The sequence below is a fragment of the Homo sapiens genome, chromosome 1 (genome assembly GCF_000001405.40).
Source record: "Homo sapiens chromosome 1, GRCh38.p14 Primary Assembly".
In the NCBI taxonomy this organism is placed as follows: Eukaryota; Metazoa; Chordata; class Mammalia; order Primates; family Hominidae; genus Homo; species Homo sapiens.
The window spans coordinates 2,415,437-2,431,572 of NC_000001.11; the positions used below are offsets into that span (position 1 = coordinate 2,415,437).

Consider the following 16,136-nt stretch of genomic DNA (forward strand, 5'->3'; position numbering starts at 1 on the left):
CTTCTGGAGGAGCCTGCTCTTGAATCAATAAGCCCCGATATGCCTCACCATCTCTTGCCACTCAGCCTATGTGCCGCCCGGCTTCAAAACCAGGCTGCTGGGGACGCTGCACAGCAGTGCTTCCTGGCTGGCCTCTGACCGCAGCCTGCTGTGCCCTCCGCCGGCCCTGCCATTTACAGGGGGCTCTCACACCCATTCCATCTGAACTCCCCTGGGCTTCCGTCTTCTGGTCTGTGGAATGGGACTGGGTAATAATCAGCTGGTATTTATTAAGAGCCTGCTTTGCTCCTGCCCAGTGCACACATCGTCTGGGGTCTGGTCACAGTGCAGGTCTGGGTGGATGGGCCTGGGACGAGGTCCAGTTCTGCATTTCCAACAAGCTCCCAGATGAAGCCTGCGCCGGAGCAGGGTTCTCAGCCTCGCCCATCACACTCACCCACTTCCGCCCAGCAGCAGCAGGTGTGTTGTCCGACATCCTTCCTCTGGAGGGCCTGCGCTCCTCCGCTAAACCCAGTTCCGGTGCTGTGGGGAGCTCAGAGGCCGGGGAGGAGAGGGAGCTCGGGGTGCAGCCCCACGGTTCGTATCCCCATCCCCCCACCAACACCCAGTGCGGTGGGCAGCCCCGCAGGTGATCTGACGCACCAGCAGGTGCTGCCCCCTGTGCCCCCTCTGGTGGGGTGTGAGCACCACCGGAACAGGGGACTGCTGTGCCTGGGTTGCTGCCTGGCACCCAGCGGTCGCTCAGGACCCCGAGGAGGGCAGGGTGGGCCCAGGAGCTGGACGCAGCAGGTCGGGGTCCCTGGGTGGGCAAAGTGGGCGCTGGTGCTGCTTGAGGGGAGTGGCTCCTGCCCAGCATGGCAGTTCTGGCTTCAGGGGTGTGGCAGTGTCCCCTCCCTTCTCTTTAGCTATACATGGGTTTGGGGATTGAGGAAGGGCCACCCACAAGCTGGCCCCGAGTACAGGGACTGTAGGGTGCGGCCCTCGGGAAGCCCCTCGCAGTGCCAGCCACAAACCAGGAGAACGGGTTCGTCTGCCTGGCTGGAGGCCCTGGGAGCCGCACTCCACCCGTCTGTGGCAGACCCAGGACCTGGAGGTACCTGCAGAGTGTGAGCTGGGGAGGGTGGGCAGCGGGCGGCACTGGGCCCAGGGAGGGGAAGTGAGCCCTGGGTGGGCACAGTCAGGCAGAGGCCCCAGAGCCAAGATGGGGAGGGCGGGGCCCGGCAGCCAGAGGCAGGAAGTGCTGGTGGATGAAGGCCTCCTGGAGCCTCCGTGGGAAACAGTGCCTGGGCCAGGGTTTAGCAGGTGAGGTTAGGACAGGGGTGCAGAGTGCAGAGGGTTGGTGTGGGCATGGGCTGGCCTGGGAAGTGATGTTGGGTGATTTTGGGGCTCGGGCAGGTGGTCCGGGGCTCTGCCTGTGTCCCTGTGTTGGCCGGGGACCAGCAGGAATGAATTCCTGGCAGAACTGTGGGTCTGACAGCAGAGCCAGCCTGGGGGGGCCCTGGGGCTCTGGGGCTCTGGGCTGCTCTTAGGACCTTGAGGGAGCTAGGACAGGAAAGAGAAATGGGGAGGGGTCTGTGGAGAGAGGGGCATGGGCCTGTGGCAGAGTTGAGAAACTGATGGCCAGAGAGGCCATGCCTGGTCCAAGGCAGGCACAAGGTGAATCCCAGGTCAGTTTGCCCATACCTGTGTCCCAGTCTCTACCTGTCGCTGGGATTGGGGAGGGGTGCTGGGCACCATGACCTCGCTGATAGGAAATGAGGGGTCCTGGTGTGCAGCTGTCATCTGGGGTGAACCGGCTGATAACTAGGGGCTGGAAACCAAGGGTCCCCCAAAAAGGAGATCTGGGAGGACTTCCTGGAGGAAGAGACTTTGCACTGGTAAGAGTGAGGGAGGGCTCTGTCCATGTGAGAGGCATGGCCTTTTCTGACAAGTGGAGGCTGGGATTGTTGGGTTGGGGGGCACTAAGGGTGGGCCCTGCCCAGCTTCCCAGCCTCCTCTGTGAGGCCGGAGGGAGGGGGCCTGGTGAGTCTGGAATCACACAGGGTGGGGTTCCCAGGAGAGTGAGCCCAGGACCTGTGGGTACTAGGCAAGGCCGGAGAGGACCCACGAGGGAGGCCCAAGCTGGAATGGCGTCCACTCTGGATGTGGGCATCTGGATGGGCTGTGGAGAGTCCGGCCCTGTCCTGCGAGCACTGCATAGCCTGGGCTGTGCTGAGTGTGGCCAGCCGGTGAGGGGCTGTGTGCTGGCTGGAGGGCACCTGGGAGCCACCTCCTGAGGCACTGCCACGCCACCTTCCCCACACAGCCTCCCCTAAGGCAGAGTCAGGGCTGGGAGCCAGGCAGCCCTGGGAGGAGGGGACGGGCAGGGGCTACAGCCTCTGCGCTGAGGTGTGACCTTGAGCAGCTCCTGGTCTTCCCTGGCCTCAGCTTCCTCACCTGTCAAGTGGGGGAATAGAGGCCCCTGCCTCCCGGGTTATGAGAGGACTCAGGATGGCACATGTGTGGGGTGCCCTCCGGGGCCTGCCTCGGACCCCCAGCTCAGGGCTTTGCAGGCATTTAGACTCTGGTGAGAAGAGGCTGAGCCCAGGGCATCCCTGTGTCCTGCCCCCAAACGCGAACACGCAGGCACTCAGGAACCTGCAGGAGCTGTGGAGTCAGCGCAGTGAAGACGTGTGACCGGTGCGAGGCAGACACCCATCACGGCAGGTGCCCCCGAGAATTCCGGGCAGAGCCCACGTTGCTCTGTCTTCAGCCCCATAGCTAGTTGGTTTCTGAATTTTGTTTTTTGGAAACTGCACTGAACTGATTCACACCGATGAGCAGCTGCCGACAGTGACAGCGTCCAGCATTCCTCTGGGCGCCTTCAGTTAGACCGAGAGAGACAGGAGTGGGGGTGTTTTAGTTATCAAAGCTGGCTCCCGGGTCTGGATGCCAGGGTCAGGCATGGGGGCTCCTGCAGCGAGCTCTGGGGGTCTCAGTGGAGGGGGCAGGGCTCTGGTCGTTCTGCTCCACCACGTGCTAGAAGGAGGGGCCCCGGGGCCATGGCTGGCATTGGGCCCCACCCACTGCCTCCCTCGGACGGCTGAATGGTGTGGGTCATCCACTCCTGTTCTCCTCTGACCCGCCTCCTTCAGGAGTTCTGAACCTGGCATTTGATGCCCGATGGACAATAAGGGCTCCCCACGAGGCTGCTCCTCAGGGCTCAGGATCTTCAGTCAGGCAAAGGCTCCCCAAGTTCCAGGGGTGCCGTCCTGGACTCCTGAGCCTGCCCGCCTGCCTCCGCAGGTCCTGTCTGTGCGAGTGGGAGTGAGCCGTGTGCTCCGCAGACACCTGACCTGTGCGCTTATGACGGCCTCTCCTTTGCACATGGCCTCGACTTGGCTGTCCCCCTCTCCCTGGCTGCTGATCTCCCAGTGCCCAGTTATGCCCAGGTCTCTGCCCACCTCAGCCCACACTGGGTGGGGAAATGCTGGCGCAAAACCTGGCTTATTGGGGTTGCAGCCAAGTAGCCCTTGATTCTTCCTACCACTCCCCTACCCGAGAGAGGACCTGCTCACCTCCCCATCCTCGGGGTCTGTGCCCGACGCCTCTCTCTGCGGTTGGCACGGCTCATCCTCTGGCTGGGGCATGTGACACCTGGCCAAGGATGTGGCGTCTGAGGCTCCCCCATCTGTCTGCCCAGCTCCTTGCCCTTCCCTGCGTGGGGCCCGTCCCAGGAGAGCCTGCCCTGACCCTTCCCACCTGCGGTCATCTGTCCCCTCCCAGGCTGCCGGCCTGGTCTGCACGGTCGAGCTTCAATCCACAGTGGAGGCCTTGGGCTGTGCTGCTGTCTGTCTATCCATCCGTAAATCCATCTATCCCCTGCCAGCCCCTTCCCTCAGCACCCCTGGCTCAGCCGTGCCATTCCTGGTTGGCCCTGGAGGTCCTATTTGCTGGTCCTTGAGTTTCCCACTGATTGTGAAGAGACAATAATTGTCCAGAGGGGATCGAAGGGGCGCCTGTGCGGAGCTGGTCCACACTCTGAGGCCCGGGCCTCGGCCGTTGGTCGGGGGGGTTTTCCACTTGTTGTTGACAGAGGCGCCTCCCATGGCAGTGGGGTGCAGGGTCTCCCCTGGGGATGTGAGGCCGGTGAGGGCGGAAGGGGAGCAGGCAGGGGCCCGGGGCTCTCCAGATCTACCACCCCACCACCTCACTGGCTCTTCTTGCCCGGAGCTCAATGCAGGGATCCCCGTGCCTGACCCTGGCATCCACAGACCCGGGGGCCAGCTTTGAGGAGGCGCTGCTGGCTCTGGTGGAGGTGGTGACATGGGGCTCTGGAGACTTGGGGGCCGCTCATCCTTCTTCCTGTGGGCTCCACCATATTCATCCTTGGGGGATTAATCTGAAGCTGTCCGTAGAAGCTGGACTGGGACCCTCAAGCCAGCCCTGGGCTGGGGCCAGCCAGGCCCTTTCTGCCTCGGAACTGCTGCACCTGCTGCCCGTAGTCGGCTCTTGCCAACTCAAAGTTCAAGCATAGCAGGCCAAGTCCCCCCCCCACCCCCAGGCAACCCCTTTGTGCGCTCCCCCCACTACCCCCTCCTGTGCTGCCTCCCCAGTAGCCTGGGTACAGCTATGGGGGTGGGGGCAGGCACAGCAACAGTAACCTGCCTCCCCACTCCCCGCCATCTCTGGTCATTGGTCAGGAGCTCATCAGTGCTGAGTTAAGGACTCAGACAGGCCCCCCGCCCCAGCCCCTACCTCACATCCCTCTCAGCTGACCCCAACTCCTCCCCAAGACTTGGATCCCAAAGGAGCCAGTGTCTGGGGGGCATCCAGGCAGCACCTACCTCTTGTCCTTCCTCCCGCTGCTCGATTCCACTTTCAGCCCCCTGCCCTGTGATTTCAGGACAAAGCTTCCCAGGTGCAGGTCTGAAAGCTTCCACCTCCTTCGAGAGGTGGGTGTGGGGGCCTGTGGGGCCCAGTGATGCTGGCAAGGGGAGAAGGTCCAGGCAGGGGCGGGGTTGCGGATCCACAGTGGGATGCGGGGCTGAACGGTTATGTCCCGGTAGGTAGGGGCTGCAGAAAGAGCCCCGAGGGCTGGGGAGTCCCGGAGCTGGACCACAGGAAGGGCCTCAAGTCCGCCTGCCAGGTCCAGCTTCTCAGGACCCCAGGGCTGGGGCACACTCTTTGCACCCCGCTTTACAGATGAGGAAACTGAGTCAGAGAGGGAGAGTTTAAGGGCAGGCTTCAAGCTGACCTCTGACCCAGAGACCCCCATTTTGAAAAATCTCCTCTTCAGGCCTCAGGCCTGGAGGGCTGTGGGAGTCGCTCCTCTCTCGATTGGAGGGTGGAGTGAGTGATCGATCGATTCATTGCCTTTACCCACATCAGTATCTCTTCCCCCTTGGGACTCCTTCTGAGGAGCGTTGAGTGTGTATCTCGTTTTTTGTATTTTCCAGAATGCTGTGTTGTTCTGGTGCGAGTATTTTAATCACTATTAGTGGGGTGCAAATGTTTTGGCCTTAGTATCCCTTCACACTTTTTTTTTTTTTTTTGAGACAGAGTCTCACCCAGGCTGGAGTGCAGTGGTGCGATCTCGGCTCACTGCAACCTCTGCTTCCCGGGTTCAATCGATTTTCCTGCCTCAGCCTCCTGAGTAGCTGAGATTACAGGCATGCGCCACCACGCCTGGCTAATTTTTGTATTTTTAGTAGAGACGGAATTTCACCACGTTGGCCAGGCTGGTCTCGAACTCCTGACATCAGATGATCCACCCTCCTTGGCCTCCCAAAGTGCTGGGGTTACAGACGTGAGCCACTGCATCTGGCCCCAACACTCTTAGCAGCTGTTGAGAAGCCCAAGGAGCTTTGGTTTTGGGGTGCTGTCTGTAGTGTGTGCTGGAGCAGGCTTGCACGTGCTCACCAGAACCTACGGTAGCATCTCCAGTAATCTCATCAGCTGGTTGTTGGACACAACCATTATTCAAATCAAATTAAAGTAATTAAATTATGTAAAACACAGAAATACTATAAAAAGCAAAGGAAATAAATACTCAAAATGTATTGCTTCCTAATTATTTCTAGCTTACTGTGATCCACGCTGTTATCTGGGTGCAGTCTGTGTGTGTCTGTCTAGTGGAAATGCCGTATGATACTGTCCATCTCTTCCCCACTCTGTGCTCTGTGGGCTCAAGTGGGAATATTTACACCACATGTTTACACCACCTTCATAAAAAAATATGAAAATATTCATGAAGTCTTATTGAAAATAACAACGGGCCAGGCACAGTGGTTCACACCTGTAATCCCAGCACATTGGGAGGTCAAGGCAGGAGGATCACCTGAGGCCAGGAGTTTGAGACCAGCCTGGCCAACATGGTGAAACCCCGTCTCTACTAAAAATACAAAAATTAGCTGGGCGTGGTGGCGCATGCCTGTAATCTCAGCTACACAGGAGGCTGAGGCGGGAGAATTGCTTGAACCTGGGAAGCAGAGGCTGCAGTGAGCCAAGATCACGCCACTACACTCCAGCCCAGGCGACGGAGCAAGACTTTATCTCAAAAAAAGAAGAAAAGGCCAGGCGCAGTGGCTCACGCCTGTAATCCCAGCACTTTGGGAGGCTGAAGGAGGAGGATCACCTGAGGCCAGGAGTTTGAGACCATCCTGGCCAACATGGAAACCATGTCTCTACTAAAAATACAAAAATTAGCCGGGCATGGTGGCAGGTGCCTGTAATCTTAGCTACTCGGGAGGCTGAGGCAGGAGAATCGCTTGAACCCAGGAGGTGGAAGTTGCAGTGAGCCGAGATCGCGCCAGTGCACTCCAGCCTGGAGGACAGTGCAAGACTCCACCTCAAAAAACAAACAAACAAACAAAAACCCATAAACTAATGACATGTTAATAGAAATAACACGTTAACATTTTATGAAAAATACTTTCAAAACAAAAAAATCCAGTGAGAAGAGGGACGTGGCTTTGCAGTTTTGCAGTCTCTTGAATGTTTGTCTGCATCTGCGTTGCATCTGTCGCAGTGTGTTTTGGTTGAAATCAGTGAAGAGATCTGGCCTCACAGGGCTGAGCCGCCTTTTCAGGTAATCATGGACACTCTTCTCTGATGGTACACCCGGACTGGATGAATGGTAGAGTTTCTTACAGGTTGTTGCGATAACAGAATCTGAAACCGTGCCAATGGACTTTTTGTATTGTTACATTATCATCTGTTGTGTTACATTATCATCTGTTGGTCTGTTTTTACTTTGTTTTTTGTTTTTGTTATGTTTTGAGAAAGGGTCTTGCTCTGTTGCCCAGGCTGGAGTGCAGTGGTACCATCATAGCTCACTGTGGCCTCAAACTCCTGGCCTCAAGTGATCCTCCCACCTTAGCCTCCTAATGTGTTGGGATTACAGGCATGAGCCGCTGTACCTGGCCCTGTTTTTCACTTTGAGTGGAAATTTACCTGTGCATAATTTTGGAAGACCATGTTTTGGTATTAATAATTTGAAAAATATTGGTTTACTGAGTTATGCAGATTTTTCAAATCTTGACACGTTTTATTAAATATTATCCCAAAATCACATTACTATCACCCCGATCTCACGATAAAAGCCTTTAAATATTTGGAAGCTGATAGACTCACAGTGATGAATACAAGTTTTCCAAAATGCTGATTTTTACCTAAGCCTGAATTTTATTATTGGCAACAGATCCTGCAATTTGCTGTTTTGTGTTGTTTTGGAGAGGGTTTTATTTAGTTTTTTTGTTTGTTTGTTTGTTTGTTGTTTGTTTGTTTTAGAGACAAGGTCTTGCTCTGTCCCCCACGCTGGAATGCAGTGGCACCATCACAGTTCACCGTAACCTCGAACTCCTGGGCTGAAGCAATCCTCCTGCCTCAGCTTCCTGAGTAGCTGGGACCACAGGCACATCCCCCCACACCCAGCTATTTTTTTTAAAGAGATGGGATCTTGCTCTGTTGTCCCTGCTGTTCTTGTTACAAGGCCACCAGGTTGGTGTGCCCTCTGCACAGTAACCAACCGATACACGGAGACAGCAGGGTTTGCAGCAGAGAAAGCTTAATGATTGCAGGTGCCAAGCAAGGAGATGGGAGGAGACCCTCAAATCCACCTCCCCTGGAGTTCTGGGCTGGGGTTCTTAAGGAGATTATGGAGGGTGAGGGGCTGGAGAAGCTGGGGTCACTGACTTGTTGGGGTAAGGGGGATGAAATCAGGAGGTGGAAAATGCATTTGCTGGTGAGTCAGCTCCTGTGAGGTCCTTCCCACCAGCTGGCATCAGTAATTTTACTGTTATGCAGGACCTGAAAGAGCATCTCAGATGGAAATCAACCTTTTACAATGTTTAAGTTGTTCTCTCTATGGTAGTTAGGGGAACTATGATCTTGGGACGGGGTCTGTGTGATTCTGGGGCAGTAGGCAGCAACAGTTATGAGGAGAGGTCAGAGAGCCAGCCCACCTCGTCGTGACGCTGCCTGCACCACCAGCTTAGTTCATTTTCCCTTCTCCCCCTCCCTTCTTCTCTGAATAATTTTATAAAGTTTACAGGGGTGATTTCAGCCTCAAACCCTGTCTTCAAGTGGTGCTCCCACCCTGGCCTCCCAGCATGAGCCTCTGTGCCCGGCCTGTTTATTTTTAAATTTCATTTTTAAAAGTATATATTTGACAGATTATAGTTGTATATATTTATGAGGTAGATAGTGATGTTATGATTTTTAAATACAATCATTTCAGTTTAAATCAAGCTAATTAACATAACCATCACCTCAGATATTTACCATCTTTTGTGGTGAGAACATTTGACATGTACTCTTAGCAGTTTTGAAATGCACGAAACTCTATTATTAATTATATTCACCATGCTGCACAACAGAACTAAAAAATTCCCCCAAACCACAAAACATACCCTTCCTGTCTAACTGAGGCCTGGCACCCTTTGGCCATCATCTCCCCATTCCCCAAACCCTGGCCTCTAGGGACCAGCTTTCTACCCTGCTTCTATGAGCTCAGGTGTTTTAGATTCTACATATAAGTGAGAAGATGTGGTATTTGTCTCCTGTGGTTTGGCTTATATCACTTAACTTGATGTTCTCCAGTTCCATCCATGTTGTTGAAAATGACAGAATTTCTTCCTTTTTAAAGGCTGAGGCCAGGTGCGGTGGCTCACAGCTATAATCCCAGCACTTTGGGAGGCTGGGGCAGGCAGATCACTTGAGATCAGGAGTTTGAGACCAGCCTGGCCAACATGGCAAAACCCCATCTCTACTAAAAATACACAAAATTAGGCCGGGCGCGGTGGCTCATGCCTGTAATCCCAGCACTTTGGGAGGCCAAGGCGGGCGGATCACGAGGTCAGGAGATCGAGACCATCCTGGCTAACACAGTGAAACCCTGTCTCTACTAAAAATAAAAAAATTAGCTGGGCATGGTGGCGGGCGCCTGTAGTCCCAGTTACTCGGGAGGCTGAGGCAGGAGAATGGTGTGGACCCGGGAGGCGAAGGTTGCAGTGAGCTGAGATTGCTCCACTGCACTCCATCCTGGGCAACAGAGCAAGACTCCGTCTCAAAAAAACAAAAAACAAAAAACACAAAATTAGACGTGCGTGGTGGCGGCCACCTGTAATCCCAGCTACTCAGGAGGCTGAGGCAGGAGAATCACTTGAACCCAGGAGGCGGAGGCTGCAGTGAGCGGAGATCGCGCCACCGCACTCCAGCCTAGGCGATAGAGTGTGACACTCCGTCTCAAAAAAAAAAAAAAAAAAAGCTGAATAGTATTTCGTTGCTTGGGCGCATGCACACACACACATATTTACACACACATATGTAACACACACATACATACACACATATACACACACATATATACACATGCACAGATACACATATACATACACACATATACACACACATACACCCCCCCACACACATTTTCTGTATCCACTCATCCACTGATGGACACTCAGGCTGATTCTGTAACTCGGCTGTTGTGAACAGTGTGGCAGTGGACATGGAAATGCAGGTCTCTTCAACACGTGGATTTCATTTCCTTTGGGAGTATATGCAGGAGTGGGGTTGCTGGATCTGCTCTGCTGGTTTTTAGGTGGCAGGCTTTAGACAGGGTCTGCCTCTGTTGCCAAGGTTGGAGTGCAGTGGCATGATCTTGGCTGACTGCAATTTCTGCCTTCTGTGCTCAAGTGATTCTCCTGCCTCAGACCCCCAAGTAGCCGGGATTACAGGCACGTACCACCGCGCCTGGCTAATTTTGGTGTGTTTTTTTTTTTTTTGTAGAGATGGAGTTTCACCATGTTGCCCAGGCTGGTCTGAAACTCCTCAGTTGAGCAATCCACCTGCCTTGGCCTCCCAAAGTTCTGGGATGACAGGAGTGAGGCACTGCGCTGGGCTCATGCATTTTTGAGGAAATACCTATGCAGCACACGGCCGGCAGCACCACAGTGTCTCAGCTGTCTTTCCAGGAAAGTCCTGCTCCCCACTATACTGTGGGTCCCCCGGCTAATTCAGCTGGAGTCCCCGTCGCTCGAGAGCCTCCTCCCAGGAAAACGCCCTTTGCTGCGGCAGCTTTCTGTTCTCCCTGGCTCCCTGCACGGAACTGAGCTTTGGTACAGTTCATCATTTGTGCTGTTTCAACAAAGACCTTCTTAGGGAAATGGCCTCTTCTCTGCTTTAATTCTGAGCACGCACTGGTGAAGGACACTGTATCTGAGCCGAGGCCCAGGGTGTCACCCATCAGAGCCTTTCACCATCTGTGCAGATGTCAGCGCGGGGAAGGGACACCTCCTTTACATAAAAACAGCTTAGACCTTGCAGGCTCCTGGAAGATTCTGAGGACCCCAGGGTTATGTGGGCCACACTCTGGGGAGCAGTGTCTATGGCCCCGTGTTTGGCCAAGCACCCCGTTCTGATCTTTACTTTCTCCACCTGGCACTAAGCTTCCCCTTCTTGCTTCTAACACTGAGTGGGGCTCCGGGGTGTCCCCCACCCCATGGCCTCCCAAAGTCCCTGGTTCGGGGCTGCCGTGAGCAGCCTCCTGAGTCCCCATGGGGTCCTGGGGGCCTTTCCCTCCGGGTCAGAGTGGCGGAGTCCCCGGCCTACACACACGAGCTCGGCCCAGTGCTCCCACGCTGACCTAGGGCTGGCCCCTCGCGGTCTTCCCTTCCCTTGTCAAACACCCCTCCCTCTGTCTCCAGAGTGCCGGCGAGCTGGGCGGGCTCCACTCCCTCCATGAAGCTGGCCCCTGAGCGCAGATGTGCAGGCTGGCATTCCTGCCCGCTGTGAGCATGGAGGGGCCTGGCCTCAGCCTCGCACTTCCTGACACGGTTGTGGGGTCGGGGCTGCTGGGTTCTTTGTCTCCCTGTGCGGCCAGGCCAGCAGGTGGGCGTAGCCAGGCGGGCTCCAGCAACCCCACCAGCTTGGGGGCAGCGGCTGAGCTTGCTGGGGCCTGTGGCTTCTCCGGGGCCTTAGGTCTGTGTTCCCTGCATCCGCTAAGTCCAGGGGTGGGAGCAGGGCCTCACAGAGGGGCCTTGGGCTGGGAGAGTGGGGAGGACTGTGGGCAGCCAGTGGCCCCTGGCAGAGTGGCAGAGGCCCAGCCATAGGCTCACTGGCATGGGGCCTGGTCTGCCTCCTATGCCCAGGACGTCTTGGCCGGGGGTCTCCATACCTGGGACCCACGTTCAGCCTGGAGACGGAAGTCAGGGTAGCAGGGAAGTAGCAGGAGGTGGCCTCTGTGTGACAGCGGGTGCCGGCGGCTAGGGGCCCACCGGGTGGAGCTCCTGGGGGCGTTGAGGAGCTGGGCAGTGGGCTGCAGTGGGGCGCCCTGGGGCCAGGAGGGCAGCTGGGGCAGGCAGGCTGTCCCCTCACCCTCTGGGTCTCTCGTGGGGGCCCGGGGCCGCAGGTCTGGGACGAGTCAGGTGCTGGGGGCAGCCGAACCCGCCCCAGCTCAGCCGCCCCTGCTGGTGGTTTCTCCGGGATAGGGTCCTGCCCTCTCTGGGCCTCAATCTCTCCCTCCTGAGAGTGGACTCTCTTGTGGGCTGGGTGGCCAGTGGGGCCTCAGGCCAGGAGGGAGAGGGAGCCCCTCTGTGACATCTTTCCTGGAGAGGCTGAGGCTCCCACTTCTACCTGCCCTCAGGGGGCTTCCTGAGCCAGGGGATACCAGCCAAGGGTGTGGCACCCCACTTCCTGGGCACTGCCGCAGAAGGTGGGAGGGAGGATGGGAGGATGTCAGAGGAGCAGGCCGGGGCTTGTGGGGGCCTCCGGTACCTCTGCTGGGAGCTCGCGATCCAAGGGACACAGCGTGAGGGGCCACCGCAGGTATTGAAACAGAAGCAGCCGGCGAGCCCTCCAGAAGTGGGAGCCCTCCAGAAGTGGGAGCCCTCCGGGGGTGGGAGCCCTCCAGGGGTGGGAGCCGGCTTGGACTCGCTGGCCCTGAGCAGGTACCTGGGCTCTCCCTGTGGGTGAGAGCAGTGGGCGGGCAGGCTGGGAACTTAGGGCTGTAGGACCTGCTGAGTGGGTGACACTTCATCCTCCGGGGGCTTCGAGGGCAGAGGTCCCTGCCTAGAGGAAGATCTGCTGGTCTGTGTGTGGTCGTTGCACCCTGGGCACTCGGCCCGGAGCTGGGCCTGGGCCTGGGCTGTGCTTCCTGATTCAATGGGGACAGGGTCCAGGGGACCTCTCCACCCTGTCCCCAGCATGGCCCGGTCCAGCCTGGCCCCGAGTGACGTTGTCAGTGAGAGTTGCCCAAGGCAGCAGGTCCAGGGTCTGAGCAGAGGCTGAAGGCCTGGCACCGGCAATGTCCCCTTCTTAGGCCAGGGTCTGGGCTCCTGGGGATCGGCCAGCACTCCATGGCCAGGGCGGGGAGCAGCAGGCCTCGCTGGGGATGGCCCCATGACAAGACCAGCCAGTGCTCCTCTGACCTGTAGGCCCTCTCCAGCTCTCCAGGAGCCGCAGAGACCAGTGTGGCTGGAAGTAAGGGCGCCACTCTGGGACCACGGTGGCTCTCAGGGCAGGACTGGGTGGGCAAGCGTGGACTGCATCTGTCCTGCATGGGGTCCTGCGTCTGGCTCGCCCGGTGCCGTGCTGTGGGGCCCACGCCAACGGCTGACCTCATGGTCCTCCGTGGCCTCGCCTAGGCTTGCGGCAGCCGACGTGGCGTTGTTGCCTAATTAGGTTGGACTGTGCCAGCCCCAGCGGAGCCCACGCCCGGCCCTTGCGCCGGCAGACGTGTCGGGGCACGGCTCCTGCACTCCCACTGCCGCAGGAACTGCTCAGGAACCTGCCGGTCTCCGGCTGGGACGGTGGCTGGATCAGCTCAAGCCTCCAGGGCCCTGAGGCTGAGGGGCTGAGTGCTCATTCCAGCCGCCTCGGGGAACCCGGGCTGGGAGACCCCATGCCTGGGGGTGAGCCTGGAGCCAGGGCAGTGCGGTGAGAGGCTCCGGAGAGAGGGCTGGGCACCACCAGGCTTGGGTGAGGAGGGAGGCCTCTGGTCGAGAGCGAGCTGGGAGTCCTGGGGGCCCCGGGGTGGGTGGTGGCCCAATGCCCTCTCCCTGCCATCTTCTGGGGCCAGGGCTGCCAGAGGTGCCGGGCCAGCCAAGTCTAGGTCTGTGCCGATTGGAGGGGGTGGGTGAGGCTGGAGGGCCAGGGCCTGGGGTGTGCAGGGTGAGGGGACAGGTGGCCAAGGGGCCCTCCTTCCTGGGGATTGGGTGCGAGGAGGGAGGCGAGGTCAAGGGTGGGGGTCCTACCTGCCAGGGCTCCTTCTAGGGCCCTGGGGAGAGAGACATGCCGACAGGAGCCTGCCCCTCCCAGCCCTGGCTGTTCTTCCCACCTGGCAGAGCATGGCTCTGTGTGTTTGAGGGCCCAGGACTCCTGATGTCCATCTGTGCTGGGCAGGCTGGGAAGAATCCAGGCCTAATGGCCAAGGCCTCCACCTGGCCCCTGTTAATCCCCTCCCCAGGGAGGGCACTCACCTCCCTGAGGGGCAGGCACCAAGGAAAAGGTGGCCAGAAAGGCTCTGAAAGGAGCTGGCCTGAGAGTGAGGAGTTGGCGGGTGATGTGGTGGAAAGGCGGGTTCTGGGCAGGGAGGCTGAGCAGAGGCTGGTGGGACGGAACCCCTGGGCCAGGACGAGGAGGCTGTTTGGAGCCTGGGGCCCCTTCTTGGGAGCAGTGAGAATTAGGGGTTTGGAGCTCAGCCAAGCGGGGCTGCCCTTGGCAGACATTACCAGGGAGACCAAAGGGGCCTTGATTCACTGCATGGGCTGCGTGCGTGGTGACCAAAAGGGCTTGAGACCCTGGCCTCAGGAGTGACACTGGTGAGACCACAGGGCTGGAGAAAGGAGAAAGGGCTGCCCGCCATGCCTGTGGCTCCTCCTCGGGGCCGTGGGGGCCCCTTGTGCTGTGAGGGCTGGCAAGTACCTCCTGTACCCAGCACAGCAGGAGGGGCTGGGGGGGCCGGCCTCAGAGACACCCCAGGCACCTCTTGCTTTGCAAATGTGCTCCTGGGAGACTGGCTGGTTTCTGTAAAGCGACTCCTGTTTTGCCTTTAAATTTCATCAAGCTGTGGGGAAAGTGTCAACACAGAGAAACAGCTGGAGCATGGAGGAAGCTGTGGCCTCGGGTCCCTGGTCTTCTGGCTTCCTCTGTGACTGCCCCAGAGACTTGGGGTTTCAGGGCAGGGTCCTGTGGCTCTCCTCCCCTGCCCTTTGGTTCTTCCCACCTGACTCTTCAGACACAGCTACCCAGCCCCACTGCGCTGGCCTATTTACCTATGAGGGGCAGTGAAGCTGGGCTGCAATGCAGCGCCTGCCAGCAGGGGTCACTGGGCACACACTGTGCTCCCTCCCCCGAGTTATGCACCTGCCTGGACAGACCTCACCCACCAACTCCCTCTGGCCTTCTTGCTCTCTCTAGGTGTGTGATGCGCTGCTGGCCCAGGCTACACCCCGACAAGGGACACCGGGGGCCCCGGGAGCAGAGAGACCTCAGAGCAGCCTCCTCCTGCCTCCTGTGGACGGCCGGCCCCAGCTGGTGATCCCAGCCAGTCCCAGCTTTCAGTTGCTGCCCCCACCGACAGTCCTCAGTCCCTCCATGATGGCTCCCCCGACAGCCGGCCCCCTTCCTGGCCCAGCTCTTCCGCCTGAGGACCCAGGGCCGGATCCGGAGAGCAGGTGGCTTTTCTTGAGCGCCAACATTCTGCCCGTGGGTGAGTGAGGCCCTGGCTACCCACACCAAGCCAGAGAACATTGTTCTTCTCCTGCTGAGTGCGTCTCTGTTTCCTGGAGCCCAGGGACAATACGGTTCAGGGTTCAGTTCAGTGACCCTGATGTCCCGTGATGTCACCTGGGGAGAACTGGGGCTCTGCTAGCACCCCAGGGCAGGTGGGGCCGCCACGTGCAGAGGAGCCTGGCGTGCAATTCAAGAGCTCTCAGTGTGTGTCCCTTCGTGTGGGCAGAGAGGGGGTGGGTTCATTCTTGGGGGATGGCTCTCTGCCCACCTGCTGCACTGGGGGGGTCTGGGAGAGGTGCCCCTGCAGCTCACGATGCTTCCTTCTTGGTCGTGTTGTCACTGTCAGAAGGGCGAAGGCCTCCCGATGTGGCGGACAGCTCTGGGGTCTAGTGTGGAGACTTTGGGGTGTGGAGCTGGTCCCCTGAGCTCCTGAGCTTCTGCTGGGATGCCCTGGAGTGGCAGGCCTGTGGCTGGCTGCCCTGCGTGTGCGTGTGCGTGTGTGTGTGTGTGCACACCGCTATCTGCCGCTTCTGCTCCCCCTGGGGGCCCCTGCTGCTCTCTGGGCGGCCGCTCCCAGGCAAGAACCATGGCAGTGGTGAGCGTGTGTGCGTGTGTGCGTGTGTCTGCCTGCACTCGTGAGGGTCTGCACCTGTGCCTACATGGTGTGTGCCCAAGTGCGTGTGTGTGTGTGTGTGCTCATGCTCTGTGCATGCCTGTGCCTCACAGAGGTGGCTCCGGCTTGTCAATGCCACATTCTCCAGATATGCCCAGACAGGTCTTCGCCATCTGAGGGTGGAGCTGCGCCTGGGGAGCTGCACACAGCCCCTGCCGGGCTTGGGGCCCTGGCTTTCAGCGCTGTCTGGAATGGACACCGGGGAAAGGGGAGACCAGATGGGGGAGGGGAGCAAGCTGCGCCCCCT

General features: G+C 58.3%; 1 protein-coding gene across 9 annotated transcripts in view, besides 1 other annotated feature; it reads left to right on the forward strand.

Moving 5' to 3' along the window:
* The window catches only part of PLCH2 (phospholipase C eta 2), an 89,590-nt gene continuing 73,960 nt past the window's right edge, over nucleotides 507-16,136 (forward strand). For 7 of the 9 annotated variants that reach the window (XM_047435038.1, XM_047435023.1, XM_047435025.1 and 4 more), the window contains exons 1-2: nucleotides 12,202-12,309; nucleotides 14,902-15,193. In XM_047435038.1, coding sequence (XP_047290994.1) covers nucleotides 12,217-12,309; nucleotides 14,902-15,193 — 385 coding nt within the window. In that variant the 5' untranslated portion in view covers nucleotides 12,202-12,216. Of the gene's footprint in view, nucleotides 577-947; nucleotides 1,094-12,201; nucleotides 12,310-14,901; nucleotides 15,194-16,136 lie in introns of those variants that run through there. The other 2 variants (XM_047435029.1, XM_047435028.1) reach the window with 2 other exon arrangements.
* Nucleotides 14,735-14,912: a silencer, noted in NCBI's record as "fragment chr1:2361610-2361787 (GRCh37/hg19 assembly coordinates)". NCBI's record gives its function as "represses an EF-1alpha promoter that drives an FKBP-Casp9 reporter gene in an ReSE screen in HepG2 liver carcinoma cells {active_cell/tissue: HepG2}" and the evidence as "EXISTENCE:reporter gene assay evidence [ECO:0000049][PMID:32094911]".